The sequence below is a fragment of the Homo sapiens genome, chromosome 12 (assembly GCF_000001405.40).
Source record: "Homo sapiens chromosome 12, GRCh38.p14 Primary Assembly".
NCBI classification, from domain to species: domain Eukaryota; kingdom Metazoa; phylum Chordata; class Mammalia; order Primates; family Hominidae; genus Homo; species Homo sapiens.
The window spans coordinates 54,984,835-55,006,210 of record NC_000012.12 but is presented as its reverse complement, the minus strand read 5'-3'; the positions used below and the strand labels follow the sequence as shown (position 1 = coordinate 55,006,210).

The following is a 21,376-nucleotide window of genomic DNA, read 5'->3' as shown; positions in this document are numbered from 1 at the left end:
GAACAACATACACTAGGGCCTGTCAGGGTAGGGGAAGAGCATCAGGAAGGATAGGTAATGCCTATTGGGCTTGATACTTAGGTGATGGGTTGATCTGTGCAGCAAATCACTATGGCACAAGTTTACCTATGTAAGAAACCTGCACATCCTGCACATGTACCCCGCAACTTAAAATAAAAGTTGATGAAAAAAAGAAAACTCAGCTTTGTCTTATCAACAACTTATTTTGTTAGACTTTTTAGAAAATTCACATTTAGAAACACTCAAAGAAAAAAGATGGGAAAGAAATATAGCAGACTTTTAGCAATGATTATCACTTAGGCAGTAGGCTATGTGTGATTGTTTTAATTTTTTATTTTTAGAGTAAAAATGTTTTACCACTTTAAGTAAGTTAACGGTCAAATGTGCAATTCCAATAAACATTCCACATCATTATAACACAGAGAACATTAAAATCATTTAGAAAGCAATTCATCATGGTGGAGCAAGCCACAAACTTTGGCATCACAATTCTATATTCCTTCTACAATCAACTAAATGTGTATTATGATGCTCTAAAGCCATCTTGTCAAAAATTGATGATGTCCAAGTATGCATTTTCAGCCCAGACCCCACCCTGGACTCTAGACCAGTACATCCAATTGCCAACCTGATATCACCAAACAATGACTAAAACGTATCTCAAATTTAGCGTGTCTATAGCTGAGCTCCTGCTCGTCCCCTGTATCACTCCTCCTCCAAGCTTCAGGTTCTCAGTTATTATTGGCAACCTCCTTTCCCCCGTTGCTCAGGCCAAGAACTTAAGGTCATTCCTGGGTGCCCTTTCTCTTATGCTTCCAATCCATCAACACATTTTTATTGATCCCACATCCAAAATTTAAGAATCCCACTAGTTTTGCCACCACCCTTGTCTGAGACACATCATGTTTTACCTGGAATACCGCCATAGTCTCCTGACTGGTCTTCCGACTTATGTCCTTGATCCTTTCATTCTATTCTCAACACAGCAGTGAGAGAGACAGTTCTGCCCCTTTTTAGTTCCAAAAGTTCTAATGACTTCATATTTTACTCAGAGTAAAAGCCCAGGTTCTTACAATGACATCCCAGGCTCTACATATTCTGCCCCCCTCCGCTTCCCATCACTCTGATCTGGTCTTGGACCCACTTTGGCTTGCACATTCTATTCCAAGATCATTGGGTTTTTTTGTGATTCCTCAAAAGCCCTGATCCTGTCTCAGGGCATTTGCACTTGCTGTCTTCTCAGCCAGAAATGCTTTTACCCCAGATATCTACATACTCCCTCCCTCATCTCCTGCAACCCTTACTCACCTCCTGCAACCCTTACTCACATCCAAATCATATTCAGATTAGATTATTGTGCCTCCCTTTATAAAATAAAATAATTTTTATTCTTTATTTGTTAAAATCCCATTTATTTGTTTAGTCCATACCATCTTCTCAGGGATTTTTCTTTCCAGGCTGAATCGGTCTTCTGTCTTTCCAGTAAATGAACAAGCACTTGTTTTTTAATCTCTGTCATAGCACTTGTTCCATGTTGCATCATCAACATTAATGCTGTTTGTTCATTTCTCCTACAGAATGCAAGCCCTTCTCAAGCTGAAAACTTGTCATACTCCTCAGTGTAGTCTCTGCAACACAAAACACAGTACACTTACTACGTATGTTGAGCAGAACTCTGGTTATCTCGACAATCCCCACATTATTGATGTGACAACCTGACATCATTGCAGAAATGTTTACAAAGTATTTATGATTCCCAGGCATTGCTCCAGGCACTGGGGATCTAGTGGAGGAATTGGACTAATGAGTTTCTTTCCAATTGAACGATGTTGTTTATGTTTAAATCCAAACTTGAAAATTAAATTTCACAGCTGTTCTTAGGAAAAAATCTCCTGACACTTAACAGTCAGATGTTCTACCTTGGTTTCAGCTTGTCCTAGATCCCTCCTATTATGAAAGAAATCCTTTTCTCTTTTCCAGGGAGAAGTTATTGTTGAGAATTCTTTACTCAAAACAAATATCTTTGTCCTATGCCTCAAGGAGCTTATGACTTTAAAATGCTTAAGACACTGTAGAAACGATTGAATTAAATGTGTTATAGAATATACATGCTGGCAAGAGGACATAGCGGAAGGTCAAATAATTTATTTGAAGAGTCAGTCTGCAAAAAAGAGAAAGGAGAATGGCTTAAAATGAGAAAAAAGATGTAGAACTCTGCCTTCTCTGTCTTTGTCTAGAATCCGCCTCTCTTCTCCCATCAGCTCTCTTCCTTCTCCTGGATGATTTCCTCCCCTCCAATCCTCTCTACTCCTCTCCATACCTTGCTCTTGAATAACTCATCCTTTGGTTGGGTGGATACAAGTACAGAAAAAATTGGCCATAAAAAGCAGCAAAGGGACACGAGGAACTGCTAATGAGGGAGCAGGTCTAGTAAACCGCTCAGGCTCTGCAGCATTTTCAAAATTAGGCAAGAAACAAATTATACGTTCCTTTCCCGTATTCTGAAAGCAGCGCCAGTTACAGGATTTTTTTTTTTTTTTTTTTTTTTTTGAGATGGAGTCTCACTCTGTCGCCCAGGCTGGAGTGCAGTGGTGCGATCTCGGCTCACTGCAAGCTCCGCCTCCCGGGTTCCCCCCATTCTCCCACCTCAGCCTCCCGAGTAGCTGGGACTACAGGCGCCCGCCAGCAAGCCCAGCTAATTTTTTGTATTTTTTGTATTTTTTAGTAGAAACGGGGTTTCACCGTGTTAGCCAGGATGGTCTCGATCTCCTGACCTCGTGATCCACCCGTCTCGGCCTCCCGAAGTGCTGGGATTACAGGCATGAGCCACCGCGCCCGGCCGGGAACACTTACAATTTTGAACTTCAGACCCAGACTCATTGTTGTCGGTAGCTATAATGTTTGTTATGCCTTGTAAGCTATGTTCTTTCAGACATATGTTCAAACTGATTTAGTCCATCAATAAGCAAACCGTGTGCCTGCTCTGATACGGGTCCTAGGAAAATGCTTACAAAGAACTCCGACAAATTATCTTTGCCCTTAAGGAAATGAGAAAGAAAATTGGCATGTCTTCAGCTAATTTCACACCATTTTCTAATTTAATACTCAATATAAATTATGAAGAAACATTATTGCATTTTTTTTTTAAGATGGAGTCTCACTCTGTCGCCAAGGCTGGAGTGCAGCAGCGCGATCTCAGCTCACTGCAACTTCCGCCTCCTGGGTTCAAGAGATTCTCCTGCCTTAGCCTCCCGATTAGCTAGGATTACAGGTGCCACCCCACCCGGCTAATTTTTTGTATTTTTAGTAGAGACGGGGTTTCACCGTGTTAGCCAGGAAGGTCTCGATCTCCTGACTTCATGATCCGCCTGCCTCAGCCTCCCAAAGTGCTGGAATTACAGGCATGAGCCACTGCGCCCGGCCTATTGCATCTTTTACAACAGATAAGGACACTGAGGAGCTAAGAGGAACATTAATCACCCAATGTGCAAACTTATTAAATGCCATGGCAGGACTCTAACCCTTGTCTGCCTGACTGCAAGGTTCATAATCTTCTCATTGCTCAGAGTGGTTGGGGAGACAGATAACTGAGTGAGGAAATGCTTGAAAGACAGCATGAAAGACAGAAATATGTCCATATAAGGCATGTGTTTAGGAAGTGTAAAAATTCTCACGGGCTACGGAATTCCAGACCTATATCATGCTGATACAGTCAGTGGTTTATTCTGAAGAGAGGTCTTAAAATAAGTTGTTTGGTCTACTGTCCCTTTCTGAGAACAGTGGTTCATTCTCTCTAAAATTATAATATAGGTGTTGTGTAAAAATTAAAGCCCAACAGTGTAGCTGACTGGGCTAAGGGTCAGAGAAGACCTTGTGTAGCTTTGACGTAGAGACCAAACCCCTCTGAAGAGGCCAAAGACAAAACTTTCGCCAGTAGAAATGCTTCATTTTGGATGTTGGTGAGAGGAACTTAGCAGATCCTCTCTTGGGAAGTAACAATATTAAGTATACACAGAAAGTGAGTTTGAGTCCAGGTTGGTGCCTTAGTTATCTCATTCTCCCTCTCTGTGCTCACCATCCTGGCATCCCTGGGACTCGGAATAATCAGGCTTCTGTTGCTGTATACTCCCGTACTATTTCACTTCCCCACATAGCCTTGTAGTAAACACAGATTACTAGAGACTTCTGCGAGTCTTTCTTTATCACTTGAAAGACCTTCCCTGATGGAATCTTAAAGACAGAGAAGCAAAGAGAAGTAAAGCAGGCACCAGGATGCGTAAATGGCATCCGCCTAGGTGCATTACTTGGTCAGCAGGGCCTGCTCAGGGTCTTGCTGAGCTAAATGTACTTTTCCATCTATTCATTCATTCGACCAATCTAAATTCAGTGTGTACACTGGGCCAGCTGTTGTGCTGAGAATATATGGATGAATACAACAGAGTCTCTTTCTGATGGGATTTACATTTCACAGGAAAGTCCAGTGATGATGGCTGTGCCTACTCTGGAAGGGAAGGAGGGGAGCAGGGGGACCACTGCAGCTGCTGAGGACAGAGCTGTCTCCCACTTCCCCTTTCCCACATCACACTTACTAACTGCTCAGCCTCCTGCTTTTCAGTGGTGTCAGGGCAGTAAATCCCAAGTCCATAAGTAAGAAATGGTCTCAACTGATACCAGGATAAAACAGCTACCAAGCCCGTAACTATCTGATCTGCATGCCTTTCTCACATCCCAACATTCACCACTTTGTTTTTGAATACTGTATACTACAGCTACAGGAAGTTCTTCACGCTGCCCTGGTCTATTTGTGCCTTTTCTATACACTCACGTGTCTCTTCTCATGTCATTTCCTCCATGGGACCATTTCTCTCTAAATCACTGTTTTAGTTCATTTTTACTTGACTCTCTGGAATAAACACTTACTTCAATCATTCCTGCTTCTAAGAATATTCTTGATACACCTATGAAAAATTAGGTGCCCATTACAAGTGGAATTGTGTTTCCCCCAAAAAAGATACTTTGAAATCCTAATGAGAACCTCAGAATGTGACCTTATTAGGAAACTGGGCGATGGCAGGTGTAATTAGTTAAATGATGGTGAAGTTATACTTGAGCGGGGTGGACCCTAATCCAATATGACTGTTGTCCTTATAAGAAGGCGACTATGAGCCGGGTGTGGTGGCTCATGCCTGTAATCCCAGCACTTTGGGAGGGCGAGACAGGCAGATCACAAGGTCAGGAGTTTGAAACCAGCCTGACCAAAATGGTGAAACCACATCTCTACTAAAAATACAAAAATTAGCAGGGTGTGGTAGCGCGGGCCTGTAATCCCAGCTACTCAGGAGGCTGAGGCAGGAGAATCGCTTGAACCCGGGAGGCAGAGGTTGCAGTGAGCTGAGATGGCACCTTTGCACTCCAGCTTGGGCAACAGAGTGAGACTCCATCTTAAAAAAAAAAAAAAGGAGGTGACTATGTGAAGACAAAAACACACACAAAGAACTCCATGTGAAGACAGAGATTTGGAGTATTGCATCTACAGGAGTAGGAATGCCAAAGATTGCCGGCACACCACCAGAATCTAGGAGAAGACAAGGGAGAATTCCCCTATAAGCTTCATGGAATGTGGCCAGCTGATACCTTGATTTCAGGCTGCTACCCTACAATAAACACCACTCAATTTCCAGTACTTTGTTAATGGCAGTGACTGGAAACAAACACAATGCCCCTCCTCTGAGCTCTCATTGCAACTTCTAATTATCTATGCATCTGTCTCTCTTTCTCTAGACTGAGTTCCTGCAGGGGAAAGACTCTCCTTTTCTTCTACCCTGGATCATCTCTAGAGCAGTGCTTGGTAAGGTGCTGAAAACTTGGCACTAAATGATCAAATGAATGAATAAAGAGGCAGAGAAGGTTGCTGAGTATATGGAAGAACATCAGAGATCCAGTCAGAGGTTTTCTTTTGTTTTTAGAAATTCTACTACCAGAAATTTTTCCTTCAATGCTTTGAAATATCAGATTCTTCCTTAAATGCACTTCCAAAGGAAGTAGTCACACAAAAATGGAACAATTATTTGTGGGAGGGATCATTGTAGGCAAATTTGAGAGGAAAGTTGGTGGCAAAAGAAAGGGCCCTAACGGGGGTTGCCCAGACCTTTAAGAGGCAGATCTGCTCTCCCTCAGTTAGGAGGACATGAATTTGGGGTCCAGAAAACTCCAGAAGTAAAACATCCGTCAGCTGTTCAAGGCCATCTCTGGCTACTCCTTTCGTCTTATCCTTTATGCGTGCAGGTCATGAAATTGCTATGACTTTCTTGTCCCTATATCTTTTCTCTCTCTACCCAGAATTCCTATCCTTATTTTATTGGCCTTCTGAACAATTTTTCAAAACCTCACCAAGAATCACCTCGTCATTGATGCCTTTTCTGATTCTTATTGCAAGCCTCTTGTGTTGCCACTGCGCCTTGCACAGATTTCTTGATTTCTGCACATCTACACACATTTAGACCCATCATGAGGTCCTGATCTTTCTGAAGGCAAGAATTATGCCTTTACATGTTTCAATACCCATCTCAGTATGTGGCATATGGCAAGTGAGCAATAAATGTTTGTGGAATCAAGAAATTAAGTAAACCTTGTCTCTAGGGAAATTGTTTTACATCAAACTAAAACCTGGGCTTGGAAAGCTTCCGTACTTTCATACTTAAGTCCTTATGGATGAACCATAACCGAACTTAGTAGGTAGGCAGGGTGGAAATCTAACTGAGGAGTATACTTCTGTAACAAAAGCTGAGTCTCAGCCAATCCCAGTAGCCATACTCCAGCCATTCACAGGCTGTTGTTTAAACCATGTTTAAGTAAGGCAAAATGCCAAGCTGTAACCAGCCTAGCTATTTCCGTACATCACTTCCGTTTTATGTAAATCACTTTCCTTTTTTGGTCCATAAACTCACTCTGACCGCCAGGCATCCCTGGAGCCTCTCTGAATCTGCTGTGATTCTGGGGGCTGCCCAATTCATGAATCTTTTTTTTTCTTGTTCAATTAAACTCTGTTGGCCAGCACAATGCCACACACCTGTAATTCCAGCATTTTGAGAGGTCAAAGGAGGAGCATTGCTTGAGCCCAGGATTTTGAGACCAGCCTGGACAAGATAGCAAGACCCTGTCTCTGCAAAAAGAAAAAGAAATTTAATTAAAAAATCTATTAAACTCTGTTAAACTTAACTTGTCTAAAATATTTCTTTTCACAATTGAAACTTTTATGTTGTTCCAGCCATAAATAAGGAAAGGTAAAAGTTGAAGAATCAGCCTTGAAACAGTGTTCTGTAAGGGAAGCAACACTCTTTTTCACATGAGACAGAAGTAAAAAGAATTCAGCAACAATCATTTCAGGACAGGTTGCAGTGAGTATCTGAAGGAAAGATTTTGGTGCTGGGAACAAGGGAGGGACTCACAAAGGTAGCAGAAGAGTCTCATTCACGAGAAAGAGTTTCATGCTATGTTCTCTTCCTTGGCCTGATGGTGGTGGTCAGGCCCAGCTGAGCTGACCTGCAGGACAATGGATGGGACTTAGAAGGGTCATTTGAGTAAAACTCTCTTCTCCCATTCTGGTGTAATCTAATTCAAGGGCCCAGATTGGTTGGGGAAGACAAAACCACCCAGGCAAGAAGAGTCAAATATCCTCTGCAAATATTGGCAGTGCTCATTTACTTTTTATTGGCCCTGTACCCCAAAGGTGGGGGAAGACAATTCCATCCCAGAAAATATAATTAGTCAGCCTGCTGGTTTGGGCTCTAATTTAATCTGGGCAGCTGTGCCAGGAGCTTATATTAGCATGACACTGGGAGGCGGAGAATATAATTACTGAGCAATAGAGAAGGGGAGGAGAAGTGGGATGGTGACCAGTGTGTGTCTGTGATAGAGGATGGAGCTGGGGGGAGGGTGATGTCTATGGAGGGCGAGGATTCCTTTGGGAGTAAGGAAGAGGAAAGGGGCTTCTGGCAGTGGATGGACGGTGACTTTAATTTGGCTTTTGAGAAATTAGTGTGCAGTATATATATGTGTGTGTGTGTGTGTTGGGATGTTGGGTGTTGGGGGAGGGGGATTCGTAGCTCCAGGCTGGTCCACTCTGCATGACAAAGGTGAGCTTGAGAGTTGATGGATGGGCTTTGTGAGTTACCCTGGAGGGAATAGATGGGGGATGTTGGAGCAGGTTATGGCTGAATTTGGGACAAATATCCTTAGATACTTTTTCAGAGGATCAATCTAAATGGGGGAAGCAGAATGAAGACATGAAATTTGCACATGTATTATCTCCTTTTTGTTTCAGGCAGAAGAGATGTGATTAAAAGAATACTTCTTAGGTGATTTCATTCGTTCATACAGGAAAGCTACCAGGTACAAATTTGCTGCCAGGGTACTTACTTTCAGCTGGGCTCTAGGTTAAGCAGCTTACACTTACTGTCTTAAGTAGTCCTTGCCAAGCTCAACAAAAGTGTTAGGTGTTATAATCCTCATGTAACAATTGAGGAAACTGAGGCTCAGAGACTTTAAGTAAAATGCCCACAGTCACATAGCTAGTAAGTTTTGAAGGTATGATTCAAATCCAGGCTTGTCTGACTCTAAACACTGTGCTAATAATCCACAACTCCAAATAGCTATTATCCTCTCCATTTATATATGGGGAAACTGAGGCTCAGAGTGGTAAAGTAATTTGCATTTGCTCAAAATGTGAGTTACTATCAGAAGTTAAAATAGAATTTGGATCTTATGCAATACTGTCTCTTTACCAGAGGACATATGGGGGAAAAGAAGAAGATATTGTTTGCCGAGGAAAGAGCTGGATATACAGAAAGAAACAAATAGAAACCAGGTTTCCTCACCCTCAACCCAATGCTCTTTCACTGTAAGTGACAAATGTGACAACAGCTAAAGTCTCTGCTCCTTTCTTAAGTACTAGATGATATACTAAGCTTTACATACTCCCTCATTTCACTTGCACATCACTTTGAGGTCGCCACTATGATCGTCTCGTGTTACATGAGAAGGCGAAGGCTTCAAGGATGTGTAACTTGCCCAAATTCAAATAGCAGGTTAATGACAGAGCAGGGAGTCAAACCCAGACAGGCCATTCTCTAGTCACTGCCTCCCTATGGAACACACGGCCCCTCCAGGCATCATCGCATCCCTCCCGTTGTCAGAAAATCTTGGAGATCCATAGAAATCTTTCTTTATGACAAACATAAGCCAGTCCCACTCAGATGTCTGTCTGTTATTGCAGAGAGTAGGTAGACATGTAGGGATACACTGGGGATCCTTTTCTTTACCCTCAGAGTTAATTTTCCCTGTGGCTTTTAACCTTTCCTCTCCCCTTCAAGGACTCGCAAAATCATTCTGGCCCTACCCTAACTGCCTCTTGTCTTCTAAGAAAAAGCAGAGGAGAAGCCAGTTTCTCCTTTTCCTTCATACTTTGAGGTTCTGTTGCTCTTTCAGCTCTGTTTTTCCCAGGCAAATACCTCCCACTGGGGCCTTGAGAACCACTGGGAGTCAGAGGCAAGAGAAGCCAGCTTTCCTCCTCCCAAAGGAGGAAGATATGGAAGCTGTGCTCTCAGGCCTCTGGAAACCCAAGTTAGCTAGAGGAGAACCCCCAACGCCCGCCTGCAGAGTTCTGCTTGCTCAGCTGCTCAGCATCTGCCCTGCACCCAGAACTGGGTCTTCCCTAGGGTTCCTGCCAATCTCCTGGGCTCTGGCAAGAGGAACCAGGGGTGCAGATGTGTCCTGCATCCTGAAGCCTGCGGGCATCACTGGGCAGCCCCACAGCTCACGTTCAGGAAACCATCTTGATTGTACAGATTTCCTCCTGCTGATGTCCTCCACCCCTACAGATTTCTCTCCTTATCTCTTCTCCCTCACTCCTCTAAATCCACACGTGCCCTAAAAGGGCACATGATAAAATTACACAGATCTCTTGACTAAAAGTCAAAAGGCTTGATTTTCCCACTAGCTGTGTGGGCATTGATTTTCATCTGTCAAATGAGACAATTGGCATCTGCTCTCCATTTCCCACAACTTGTCATGAGAATGTGAGGAAAATGTGTATTTAAAAAGCTGGTATGTCAGTGACAAGCCAATGTTAGTATTGTCACTGCAATCAATGGATTATAAAGTAGCGTATATAATGCATATAGGTTTCAGAATCAGAGACATCAAGCTTTAAATCGTGGCCTTCTACAGAGACTCCTGAACCTCAGTTTCTTCATCTGTATAATTGGAATGCTAGTGCCTGCCTTGAAGGGTTGCTGTGAGATTTACACGAGAGGATGTACAGAGAAACAACCAGAAGAGAGATGGGTGAGTTGGAAGAGCTTAATGTATGTTTCTTTTCTCCCATATTCTAATGTTTTCCAAATTTAATCCAGAGCTGTTAGGTCTCTGCACTTATGATTGTGCTGGTTGTTCCTTGCACAAGGGAATCTGCCCAAAGGAACAAATCCATCCAAAATGTGTGATCTGAGCCTGGGCTGCACTGGCCTGATAGGAGGACATCACCAATCTACCAAGATTCGTATGTGCTAGACTCAAGGTTAAAAGATTACCTGGAGCAGGTCAGAACTTGGGTACCAGAGTCCCAGACAAAAGGAAGGCCTAGGCTGGGTGCGGTGGCTCACACCTGTAATCCCAGCACTTTGAGAGGCTGAGGCGGACAGATCACTTGAGGTCAGGAGTTCGAGACCAGCCTGGCCAACATGGTGAGACCCCGTTTCTACTAAAAATACAAAAATTAGTTGGGTGTGGTGGCAGGCGCCTGTAATCCCAGCTACTCGGAAGGCTGAGGCAGGAGATTTGCTTGAACCCAGGAAGCACAGGTTGCAGTGAGCTGAGATCGCACCACTGTACTCTAGCCTAGGAGCCAGAGCGAGATTCCATCTCAAAAAATAAAACAAACCAAAAAAAAAAAAAAAAAAAAAAGGAAGGTCTACAATGTGTCAGAGTTGAAGATAGTAAAATCACACACTCACAGTTTCTAGGGTGACATTTCTAAACATGGTTCTGATTTTATCCTATCCAGCTCAATATATTTTTGATGACTCCCAACTCTTAAGAAGATAAAATACCAAAACTAGTAGGTGAGAGTTGAAAGCTTAATAAGGAATAGGATATTGACATAGTTTGAAAATATTTAAAAGTACTTTTTAATTTAAAAAGGAAAATTATAAATTTACAGTGGAAAAAAAGAATACCACATTATATTACCAATAATAGGAAAACTGATACTACATACTTCCTGATGTGATGCACTGGGGAGACATCATCACATGTAGTAATCCTGACAAAATTGTCTAACGCAGATTGAATCACATGAACTGCAGACAAATCAAATTGAGAGATGCTCTACAGAATAGAAGGACTATACTCTTTAAAAATATCAACATCAAGTACACCATGGACACAAAGCAGGAAGCAACTTTGGGTCTACTTGAGGGTAATGAGTGGGAGGAGGGTGAGGATCAGAAAACTACCCATTAGGTACTATGCTCATTACCTGGGTGATGAAAGAATGTGTACAGCAAACCCCGCAACACCCAATTTACCCATGTAACATGTACCCCTGAACCTAAAACAAAAATTGGAAAGGAAAAAAATTCAATTTCCATGAAAGATAAAGAAAAGTAGAGAAAGAATTTCAGATTTAAGGAGACAAAAGAGACATGAAAACTATATGCAGTGTGTGATCCTACATATTATTTGGAAAACAATAAAGTCTGTAAACTAGATGATTGTATCAATGTTATTTTTAAAATTTTGATAATTATACTATAGTTATGAAAATTATTGTCTTTAATTTTAAGAGGCAAAGGGGCATAATATCTACAACTGATTCTCAAAATGTTGGGAAAAAATACATTATAATAAAGCAAAATATTAACAATTTTAAGTCAGAGTGACAGGTGTACAGAAGTTCTCTATTTCAAAGGAAAACTGTTAAAGTTAAAACAAATTTCATAACCCAAAATATGGTATTCAAGATTTCTTAGATCTAAACTTAATTTAGGTTAATTATCTTAGGTTCCACTCACTCTTTCTCATAACACAACTCACAGTATAGCCATGCTGAGCTACTTGATTTTTCCCAAACATACCCTATACTTTTCCATCTTGGTATTTATGCTCACTCAAATCTCTCTGTGAGTACAGACTACTTTTTACTCCTTAACCTTTTGAAATTCTATTCAACCCTGAAAACTGTTTAATTTAAAATGAGCAATCTGGCCGGGCATGGTGGTAGTTCATACCTGTAATCCCAGCACTTTGGGAGGCTGAGGGGGGAGAATTGCTTGAGCCCAGGAGTTTGAGACCAGCCTGGGCAACTAAGTAAGATCCTGTCTCTACAAAAAAATTAGCCAGGCATGGTGGTGGTGCCTAGTCCCAGCTACTCGAGAGGCTGAGGTTGGAAGATCTTTGGAGCCCAGGAGGTCGAAGCAGCAGTGAGCCATCACTGTGCCACTGCACTCCAGCCTGGGCCCTGGGGAGACCCTGTCTCCAAAGACGAAAAAGAAATCCAAAAAAATAAAAGGAAGAAATCTTCGATTGCTTATTCAGCTCCTAAATTCGTTCAATCTCCTGTGATACAAATCAGACAAACAGGGGTTGTCCAGATACTCCATAATTGGGTTAATTCATCAGTCTGGGTTAGACAACCTCCTGGGCAGTGGGCTAATCTGAGATTTCCACCTATGTAACTGTGAGATTAAAGAATGGGTATAGGCTGCCACCTGGTGGTCATTAGGAGTACAGTCTTGAGCTGCATAACAATATTCTGATCAAGGATGGACCGCATATACCACAGTCTCGTAAGATTATAATGGAGCTGGAAAATTCCTATCACCTAGTGACGTCGTAGCCATGGTAATGTGGTAGCACAATGCATTACTCACGTTTACTTGCATGTTTGTGTTGATTGCTCGTGTAAACAAACACTGCGTGCCAGTCATATAAAAGTAGAGTACATACATCTACGTATAGTACATATTTAATAATGATAATAAACAACTGTTACTGGAGTAACAGTTTTTGTATGTAGTTTATGTATTTACTGCATTATACTTTTATGTATAGTGCTCTGTACCTATACATATACTAAACTGCACTATACTTTTATGTATAGTTTATGTATAGTTATGTATAGTTTATGTAGTTTATGTGTTTACTGCACTATACTTTTTATTGTTGTCTTACAGTGCACTACTTCTACTTGTTTAAAAAGTGAACTGTAAAGCAGCCTTAGGCAGGTCCTTCAGGACCTCTTCCAGAAGGCATCGTCCTCATAGGGAGATGACAGCTCCATGCCCCTGAAGACCTTCCAGTGGGATAAGATGTGGAGGTGCAAGCCAGTGATATTGATTATCTTGACCCTGTGTGGGCCAAAAGTAATGTGTGTATTTGTGTCATAATTTTTTTAAAAAGTTTAAAAAGTAAAATAAAATAATTTAAAAATTAAAAAAGCTTATCAAATAAGGATATAAATAAAATATTTTTGTACAGCTGTACAATGTGTGTTTTCAGCTAAGTGTTATTAACAAAAAAGTCAAAAATTTAAAATTGTATAAAATAAAAAAATTACAGTAAGTTAAGGTTAATTTATTAATGAAGAGAGAAAAATATTTTTAAGTAAGTTTAGTGTAGCTTAAGTGTCCAGTGTTTATAGAGTCTACAGTGATGTACAGTAATGTCCTAGGCCTTCACGGTCACCTGCACCCACTCACTCACTCACCCAGAGCAACTTCGAGTTCTACAAGCCACATTCATGGTAAGTGTCCTATACAGGTGTACCATTTTTTATCTCTTATACTATATTTTTATTGTACTGTTTCTATGTTAAGATGTGTTAAGAGCTACAAACACTTCCCACTGTGTTCCAATTGCCTACAGCATTCAGTACAGTAACATGCTGTCCAGATTTGAAGCCGAGGAGGAATAGATTGCATCATATAGCCAAGGCGTGCAGTAGGCTATACCATCCGGGTTTGTGTAAATGCACTCTATGATGTTCACACAAGGACGCATTTCTCAGAGCATGTCCCCGTCACTAAGTGATGTATGACTGTGTAACAGGTTGGGGGTTCATCTGTGAAGACAGAGGTTTGCAGGGTGGGAAAAGTCAGAAAGAGACACAATCTTACTTAATTCATCTATGGATCACAATATCCACTTTTGAGATTGTTTTCAGGATTCAAGTTAAGATATATTAGTCATTTTTCGCAGAGTATTCACTCATTAAATGATAGTATTATTAGAAATATAAAACATTACACTGGGAAGAACCCTAAAGACAGTTTATTTTTACTTCCTCATTTTACATTTAAGGACTCTGAAACCCAGAAAAGAAGCAGAGTAAGGCCTAAAGGACAGGATTTTTTACTTCTCACTCCTTAACGCATAGGTCAAAAGGGACAGGTTCAGTGTAAGTATAGGGAAAATTATAATATGTAGCTGTGGAGCACTTTAAGTCATTTAAATCTCCTTCACTCCCACTTTCTCAGTTGTTCCTACCTTCTAAGGGAGGCAGGACAGGCTATGGGAGCAGGATGAGTGTTGCCAGGCCAGGTGCCTGAGAAAGATGAGATGTTTCCTCCAGTGGGTGGACAAGAGAAGTTGCCTTTTGCAGTTTGGGTGGGTGGTTACACTTCAGTTTCACTTTCTCTTGCATGTAAATCATTTCCCTCAGATTCTCTCTCTGCTTCTCTCTGATTCAGTGTCTCTTCTCTCTTTTCCTCCTCCACCTCTTCCTCCTACTCTTTCTCAAACCTAACAGAGAGAACTCTCCTTGGATCTGACACTCCTGCGCGCGCGGAACATACTCTGGGGTGCCACATGGACCATCTCGCCACCTGCAGATATCCCTCTGATCAGAAGGCCGCAGTTGTCCCATTTCCTCTGATTAACTGACACTACACTGAGGAAACACTTAACATCTTTCCAGAAACCTTGGTCTATCGTTCTGCAGTTCATTGCTGGGTTCTGCCCCACACCCTCTTCTGCTTTGACCTGTGTCCACCGCGCACCAGGGTCTCCAGTCTCCTGTGGACAGCGAGTGCAGTCTGACTTTGGTAGAGTGGCCTCAGACTTCAGCGCCTCCCCTTTGTGGAGGTGAGAGAAGAACCTAGGCTCTTAAAAAAAAATCTGCCCCTTCCTCCAATCTGTGACCTCCTGCCCCTTTCTCACAATAACCCATGTTTTCATGTTCTACCTCTAATCTCTAACCCCATATTCATTCACCCTACCTATTCTTCCCTTATACCAAATCTACAACAACGCCCGAATTTTACCTGCTATTGTGTCTTTTGATGCCTATCCTTTTCAAGGCTTTAGAATGTTGGGTCTGAAGAACCTGGTTTTAAATGTTCCCCAAATCCATGAAGTCACTAACCCCTGATGCTCCCTTCATGGTTTCTCCAAGGTTGCTATAGTCTGAATGTTCATGCCAGCCCCCCAAATTCATATGTTGAAACTTTAACCCCCAAGGTGATGGTATCATGAGGTGGCATTTTGGTGAAATGATTAGGTCAGGAGAGCAGAGCCCTCACGATCAGGATTAGGGCCTTATAAGAGAGACCCCAGAGAGCTAGCTCTCCCTTCCCATCACATGAGGACACAGTGAGAAGACAGGTATCTATGACTTAGGAAGTAGGCTCTCACCAGACACCAAATCCGCCAGCACCTTGATTTTGGACTTCTCTCCAGAACTGCCAGAAATAAATTACTGTTGTTTGTAAATCACCCATTTTATGGGATTTTCTCTGTTGTAGCAGATGAACATACTAAGGTAATAGCTCAACCCACCTTAAATCCTCTATCATCTAAAAATTTTGACTGCTTTTCACTCCTCCTCTTCTTTCTTTCCCCATCAATAATTATACCGTTGCTATAAGTGTTTACTTTGTACCAGGTCCCAGGTGTAGGGAGGAACCCTGCTGGAAGCCCTCTTTTCTTTTGGGAAGAGAGATCAAGTTTTAAAACTCTTCCACATTTCTTGTTTGTCAAGTCCATGAGATTTTTCTTGATAGATCTCTCTCTAGCCCTGAAAGTCTCCTGCCTCCCATCCTATGAAACCCTCAGATCTCTCCTCCTCCACTGCACTTACACCCACATCCAGGCTCTGTCCTCCTCCATGGGCTTACAAAACACTGAGCACTCACCATGCAAATCACACAGAAGAACTCAATTAAGACCTGTGATTCTGAGTTAAATGGGCTTGATCAAAAGAAAGATGAAACATAGGCTCACTGAGAATTCAATCCTGTGTTCATAGCCATCTGAATATAATCAAAGATGTTAATGTCACGATTTAATCCAGAGAAGTGGCTGTAGTGGAAGAAAACTTTTCCAAAATAATTTCCTTGGGATGTTCCAAGGAAGGAAGGAAAGATAAGGGAAGGGTAGGGAAGGAGAGGGGAGGGGAGGGGAGGGCAGGGGAATCCATAGGCCAATACATTTGGGAAATACAAAACTTTCTCCTTCTAGGAGAGTCACAATTCATGTTAATCTATTAAAAGCCTCAAGAAGTTATGCCTTAAAGCAGGGGGCCTCAACCCCTGGACCACAGACCAGCACAGTTTGGTTGCCTGTTAGGAACCTGGCCTCACAGCAGGAAGGTGAGTGGCAGGCATGATCATCTGAAGTGGAACAGTTTCATCGCCAAACCCTCCCCCTCACCCTGCTCCCATGGAAAAATTGTCTTCCATGAAACCAGTCCTTGATGCCAAAAGGTTGGGGACCACTGCCTTAAAGGAACATGTTTGTCTTTTGTTAACCCTGTATTTCCCCAAATTACTTGATCATACTAGAAAATAAGCCCTCTAAGGGACAGTATTTGATACTGTTTCTCCCCCTTGTATATCTTCCTCTCCTTCTATACTCCCCTCAGTCCCTTCCCCAGATCTATCTCATTTCTGACACTCAGAAGGTATCCAATAAAATACATTTTGGGTAGAATTACAATCCAGATCACTGAAAGAACACCCTCTGCAGAGGCCTGAGATGGATTGCTCTTCTGTTTTGCTGGACTCTTACAGAGGGAAGATACAGCCAGACAGAAGGAAGAACTTTCTGGCATTGAGTGGAGTAATTTAGTAGAATGGGTAGGTTAGAAAAGTTAGAGAATCCCATTTGTTTGTATCCTTAACAACCAGAACATAGAAGCAGAGAAAAGAACAAGATGACCTTGGTGGACACTTTTCTGCCTGGAGAAAGTTCAGAAAATCCTTGGTGAGTTAAATCACTGCTCTCTCCCCTACAATTCTATCCACTCTCTCTTTCTACTTTTGAGCCTTTGGTACAGGAAGGAGACAAAGTCACTCAAATTCCCACATCAGCAATTTGGAGGAACAGACTCTTAGCAAAAAAAACAAAACAGCCAAACAAAACAAAACAAAAATGGCATTTGCAAACCCCAGGATCTGAGAAAGAAGAAGGTTGAGAGCTGAAATGGAGGCAGATGATTTGCATCTGGGCCTGGGCAGAGGGGCCCAGCTGCTCGGCCCAGAGCAGTGGCTCTGAGCAGCAGCTTCTCTGTCTTGGGACAGCCTCTATGGACAGCTGTCCTGGCTCTGCCCCAGGTCTGGGCAACCTGCCAGCTCAGCCTGTAGTTCTGCAGCTCCAGAACTTATACTCACTACAGCCCATCTGTTTGATGGGCTCATCAGTGTTCAGAAATTGTTCTTATTTATCAGTGTTATCAGGTTACATGTCTAGAGGATAATATTATTCAAAAGCAATATTTACTTGGCTTTTCAATGGAAAAGAGTCTTTCAAAATACTTTTTCTAATACCTTTATAATAATTTCTTACCAAATATCACTTAATATTTTCATTTTCCATAATAAACTACATGCAGTTATAAAAGGGTAGAGAAAAATAGTCTGTACAGGTGTTACTGACATCTAAAGCCAAGAGGATCTTAGAAAATATTTCTCTGTCAGAAGGTGATACCGATATCCAGTGAAATTAAGTAACTAGTATAGTTTTAAACTCAGATTGCTCTTTTACCCCTAGTTCAGGGTTTTTACTAAATTCTATAAAACACAAGAGAGGGAGCCATGGAATGACAAATAGGCCCTATCATGAGGCACCAAACTGCTGAATCACATAGGCAGTAGAGAGCTAATTCATTATCTCAGTTAGCATAAGGGTTTTTATTTTTAACCAAGGGAAAAAAAATGAACAAGCTCACAAAAAAACCTTCAGAAACCCTGAACTACTGCGTCTCGTATAAAAAGAACAAGTCATTTTGTTTTCATGAAGCACCTGGAATATATGCTCAGAGAAGTTCATGGTGCCAAAGATATAGAGACAATGTTTTCAAAGGGTGGGAAGGGCAGGTGAGAGGGAAAAAAGAGAAAGGGGAAGGAGGAAAGGAGGGAAGGAAGGAAAGAAGGAAGGAAGGAAGGAAGGAAGGAAAAGGAATGGAAGGAAGGAAGGGAAAGAAGGAAAGAAACAAAGAAAGAAAGAGAAAGACTATACAACTGAGAAAGAAGATAAACAGAGGAATACCCTGGGCCGCCTCCTCCTCCTAGGAATCATATAGTCTTCATCTTTGTCTTTCAGAAGCTGCTTGTAGAAGAGAAAAATATTTCTTTCAAAAAATAAATCACAAATACTATAAACATATAAACCTACATATGTACTCATAAAAATTAAGAATAAATATAAATAAAAACCAAAAATTAATACATCTTTTTTATTAACAAAAAAATCTCTAGCAATTGCTTGTGAAATGGTATCTTTAATGAGTGAGGTAATTTTGACAGATAGACATAGTATTCTGCAGAAACTGAAAATATTATATTTCATGCAAATCAAAACCACAATGAGATACCATCTCACACTACTCAGAATGGCTATTATTAAAAAGTCAAAAAATAAAAGATGTTGGCGAGGTGGCAGAGGAAAAGGAATGTTTATACACTGTTGGCGGGAGTGTAAATTAGTTCAACCCTTGTGGAAGACAATGTGGCGATTGCTCAAAGACCTAAAAACAGAAATATCTTTAGACTCAGCAATCCCATTACCGAGTATATACCTGGAGGAATATAAATCATTCTGTTATAAAGACACGAGCACATGTATGTTTGCTGCAACACTATTCACAATAGCAAAGACATGGAATCAACCCAAATGCCCAGTGATGATAGACTGGATAAAGAAAATGTGGCACATATACACCATGGAATACTATGCAGCCATAAAAAAGAATGAGATCATGTCCTTTGCAGCAACATGGATGGAGCTGGAGGCCATTATCCTTAGCAAACTAACACAGGAACAGAAAACCAAATACCGCATGTTCTCACCTATAAGTGGGAGCTAAATGATGAGAACACATGGACACATAGAGGGAAACAACACACACTGGGGCCTATGGGAGGGTAGAGGGTGGAAGGAGGGAGAGGATCAAAACAAATACCTATTGGGTACTAGGCTTAATACCTGGGTGATGAAATAATCTGTACAACAAACCCCTATGACAGGAGTTTACCTATGTAACAAACTTGCACATGTACCACTGAACTTAAAATAAAAGTTAAAAGAAACTATTATATTTCAAGAGTCTTAAAAATAGCTGCAATTTCTTGAGCATTTGCTGTAAGGTAGGCGCTGGACTGAATACTCTGTATTCCTTTATTCTTATAGCTCTACAACCACTCCTGTAAGGTTATCCCCATTTAGCAGCTAACAAACTGAGACCTAGAGATGTTAACGTATCCAAGACTACAGAGCTACTTGATGCCAGAGCTTCACTCTAAAGCCTGCTCTCCTAACCATCAAACTATCAATGTTAACAAAATGTTGACATTTGGGCCAGGACAATTATTCCTTATACTGAAGAGTCCCATCCCTTCAAAAGCACTTATCATCATTGGCCCTCAGGTACTAAATACCAGTATCAGCTTCCCATTTCTTTGAAAATTAAATCTCTCTCACATATTTCCAAACTCCCTACCGAAGTTATATTCTCCATTTCCCAAACATATTGGAAAACAACTGTTAAGGAAAACATTGAATTCTAGAAACTTAGGATTTAAAAGAGTTGTTAAGTTTCCATTAGTTCAGCTTTTATAGTTAATTTGTACGGAAAAGAATAGTAAATAAAGAGAATTAGGGCGTGTTGGATTTAGCATTTTACTTGTTGACTGTGAAGCTAATTCTCAGAGAAGCACATATTTAGCATCTACTATGTCCTGAGAAAATATGTTAGATATTTTCATGCCTACGTAAAAGGAATAGCGTGGGAGAAGGGTTGAGTGAGAAACAGAGAGAATTGTTATTTTCCTCACATTATACTTGAAGAAAATAATGTTTTGAGAACTTAATTTGCCAAGCAAGAATTTTATTTAGGATTATTTCTACCATATTATAGCTATACTATGGATACTCAATGGAGTTGTCCCATTGATGATTGGAAATGGAATTTAGAAACATGGTAAAAAAAAAATCTAACTATACCTATAGCCAAAAAATCAGAAAGAAGGTAATGAACATGTGAAAATCAGTCACAATTAACACATTAGAGGAGTGCCTTGTAGAATAAATATTGTGATATACATTCATAAATAAATGATTTAAAGAAGGAAACAGTAGAATCAGGAGAGAGACAGAAAGAAGATATCCAAAATGCAGCAGCATCCTACGGAGAAGAGTGTTCAGAGATACTGGAGAAGCGAGGAGGGATAGTTAGCAGTGCTGGATGCTCCCGGTGGGTGAAAGTGATTGAGGCCTGGGAGAAACCTTTTAGAGTTCAACAAGCCTTTTCCAAACTGAAAACCAATAAACTGAAGACATCTTCAGGGTGTAACCGATTTTAAAAGTTCAGCTTTGAAAACGTTGGGGAAAGCAGTCATTTACTACAAAAACAAAAACTTTGAAGTGGTTTGAACATAAAACAAAGTTAAGAAACTAACAGAAAAAAAAAGTAGTCAGTATTCAAAAACAAGCTTCGGGGGAATTTACCAGAGTATGAAAGTTATCAACACAGAGCGACTGGCTCAGAGCCCTCTCAAGTGTGTGATACGACTGGAAACTTCTTCTCTGAGATAAACGCCAGATCATTTATGAGAGAGAGCTTTCCCATTTTCAGACAGCTCTCCTGAGGACAGAAGGATTTATCTGCAGCAGTGGAATTCTAGTTATATGGTAGGAAGACTCCTGCACACACCTCTTTAAATGGACTGTACCTTTGCCTTAATAGGAAAAGATCTCCTGTTTTTCTGGAAAGACAGAGGCAGCTCTGGGGCAGGAAGGTCTTCCTAGTTGTGAGCACCGTGTCTACGGATGGTTTGTCCTTCGCTCAGTCTCCTGAGCCGGA

The 21,376-nt window shown here is 41.2% G+C and overlaps 1 protein-coding gene and 1 long non-coding RNA gene across 2 annotated transcripts in view, besides 4 other annotated features; one reads left to right on the top strand and one right to left on the bottom strand.

The window, feature by feature from the left end:
- Window positions 1-330: 330 nt before the first annotated feature.
- LOC107984515 (uncharacterized) lies at window positions 331-21,360 on the bottom strand. Its single transcript, XR_001749161.2, has 2 exons — window positions 21,246-21,360; window positions 331-1,649 (listed from the first exon to the last, which is right to left on the bottom strand). It is a non-coding gene; the product is annotated as an uncharacterized LOC107984515 (long non-coding RNA).
- Window positions 4,537-4,726: an enhancer, noted in NCBI's record as "active region_6449". NCBI's record gives its function as "activates an Ori minimal core promoter by ATAC-STARR-seq in GM12878 lymphoblastoid cells {active_cell/tissue: GM12878}" and the evidence as "EXISTENCE:reporter gene assay evidence [ECO:0000049][PMID:35858748]".
- Window positions 4,827-4,876: a silencer, noted in NCBI's record as "silent region_4533". NCBI's record gives its function as "represses an Ori minimal core promoter by ATAC-STARR-seq in GM12878 lymphoblastoid cells {active_cell/tissue: GM12878}" and the evidence as "EXISTENCE:reporter gene assay evidence [ECO:0000049][PMID:35858748]".
- Window positions 14,099-14,148: an enhancer, noted in NCBI's record as "active region_6448". NCBI's record gives its function as "activates an Ori minimal core promoter by ATAC-STARR-seq in GM12878 lymphoblastoid cells {active_cell/tissue: GM12878}" and the evidence as "EXISTENCE:reporter gene assay evidence [ECO:0000049][PMID:35858748]".
- Window positions 14,809-14,998: an enhancer, noted in NCBI's record as "active region_6447". NCBI's record gives its function as "activates an Ori minimal core promoter by ATAC-STARR-seq in GM12878 lymphoblastoid cells {active_cell/tissue: GM12878}" and the evidence as "EXISTENCE:reporter gene assay evidence [ECO:0000049][PMID:35858748]".
- Window positions 21,023-21,376, top strand: part of TESPA1 (thymocyte expressed, positive selection associated 1) — a 37,174-nt gene continuing 36,820 nt past the window's right edge. Inside the window, exon 1 of the mRNA XM_047429930.1 lies at window positions 21,023-21,204. The gene's annotated coding sequence lies outside the window, so the exon portion shown is untranslated. The remainder of the gene's footprint in view (window positions 21,205-21,376) is intronic.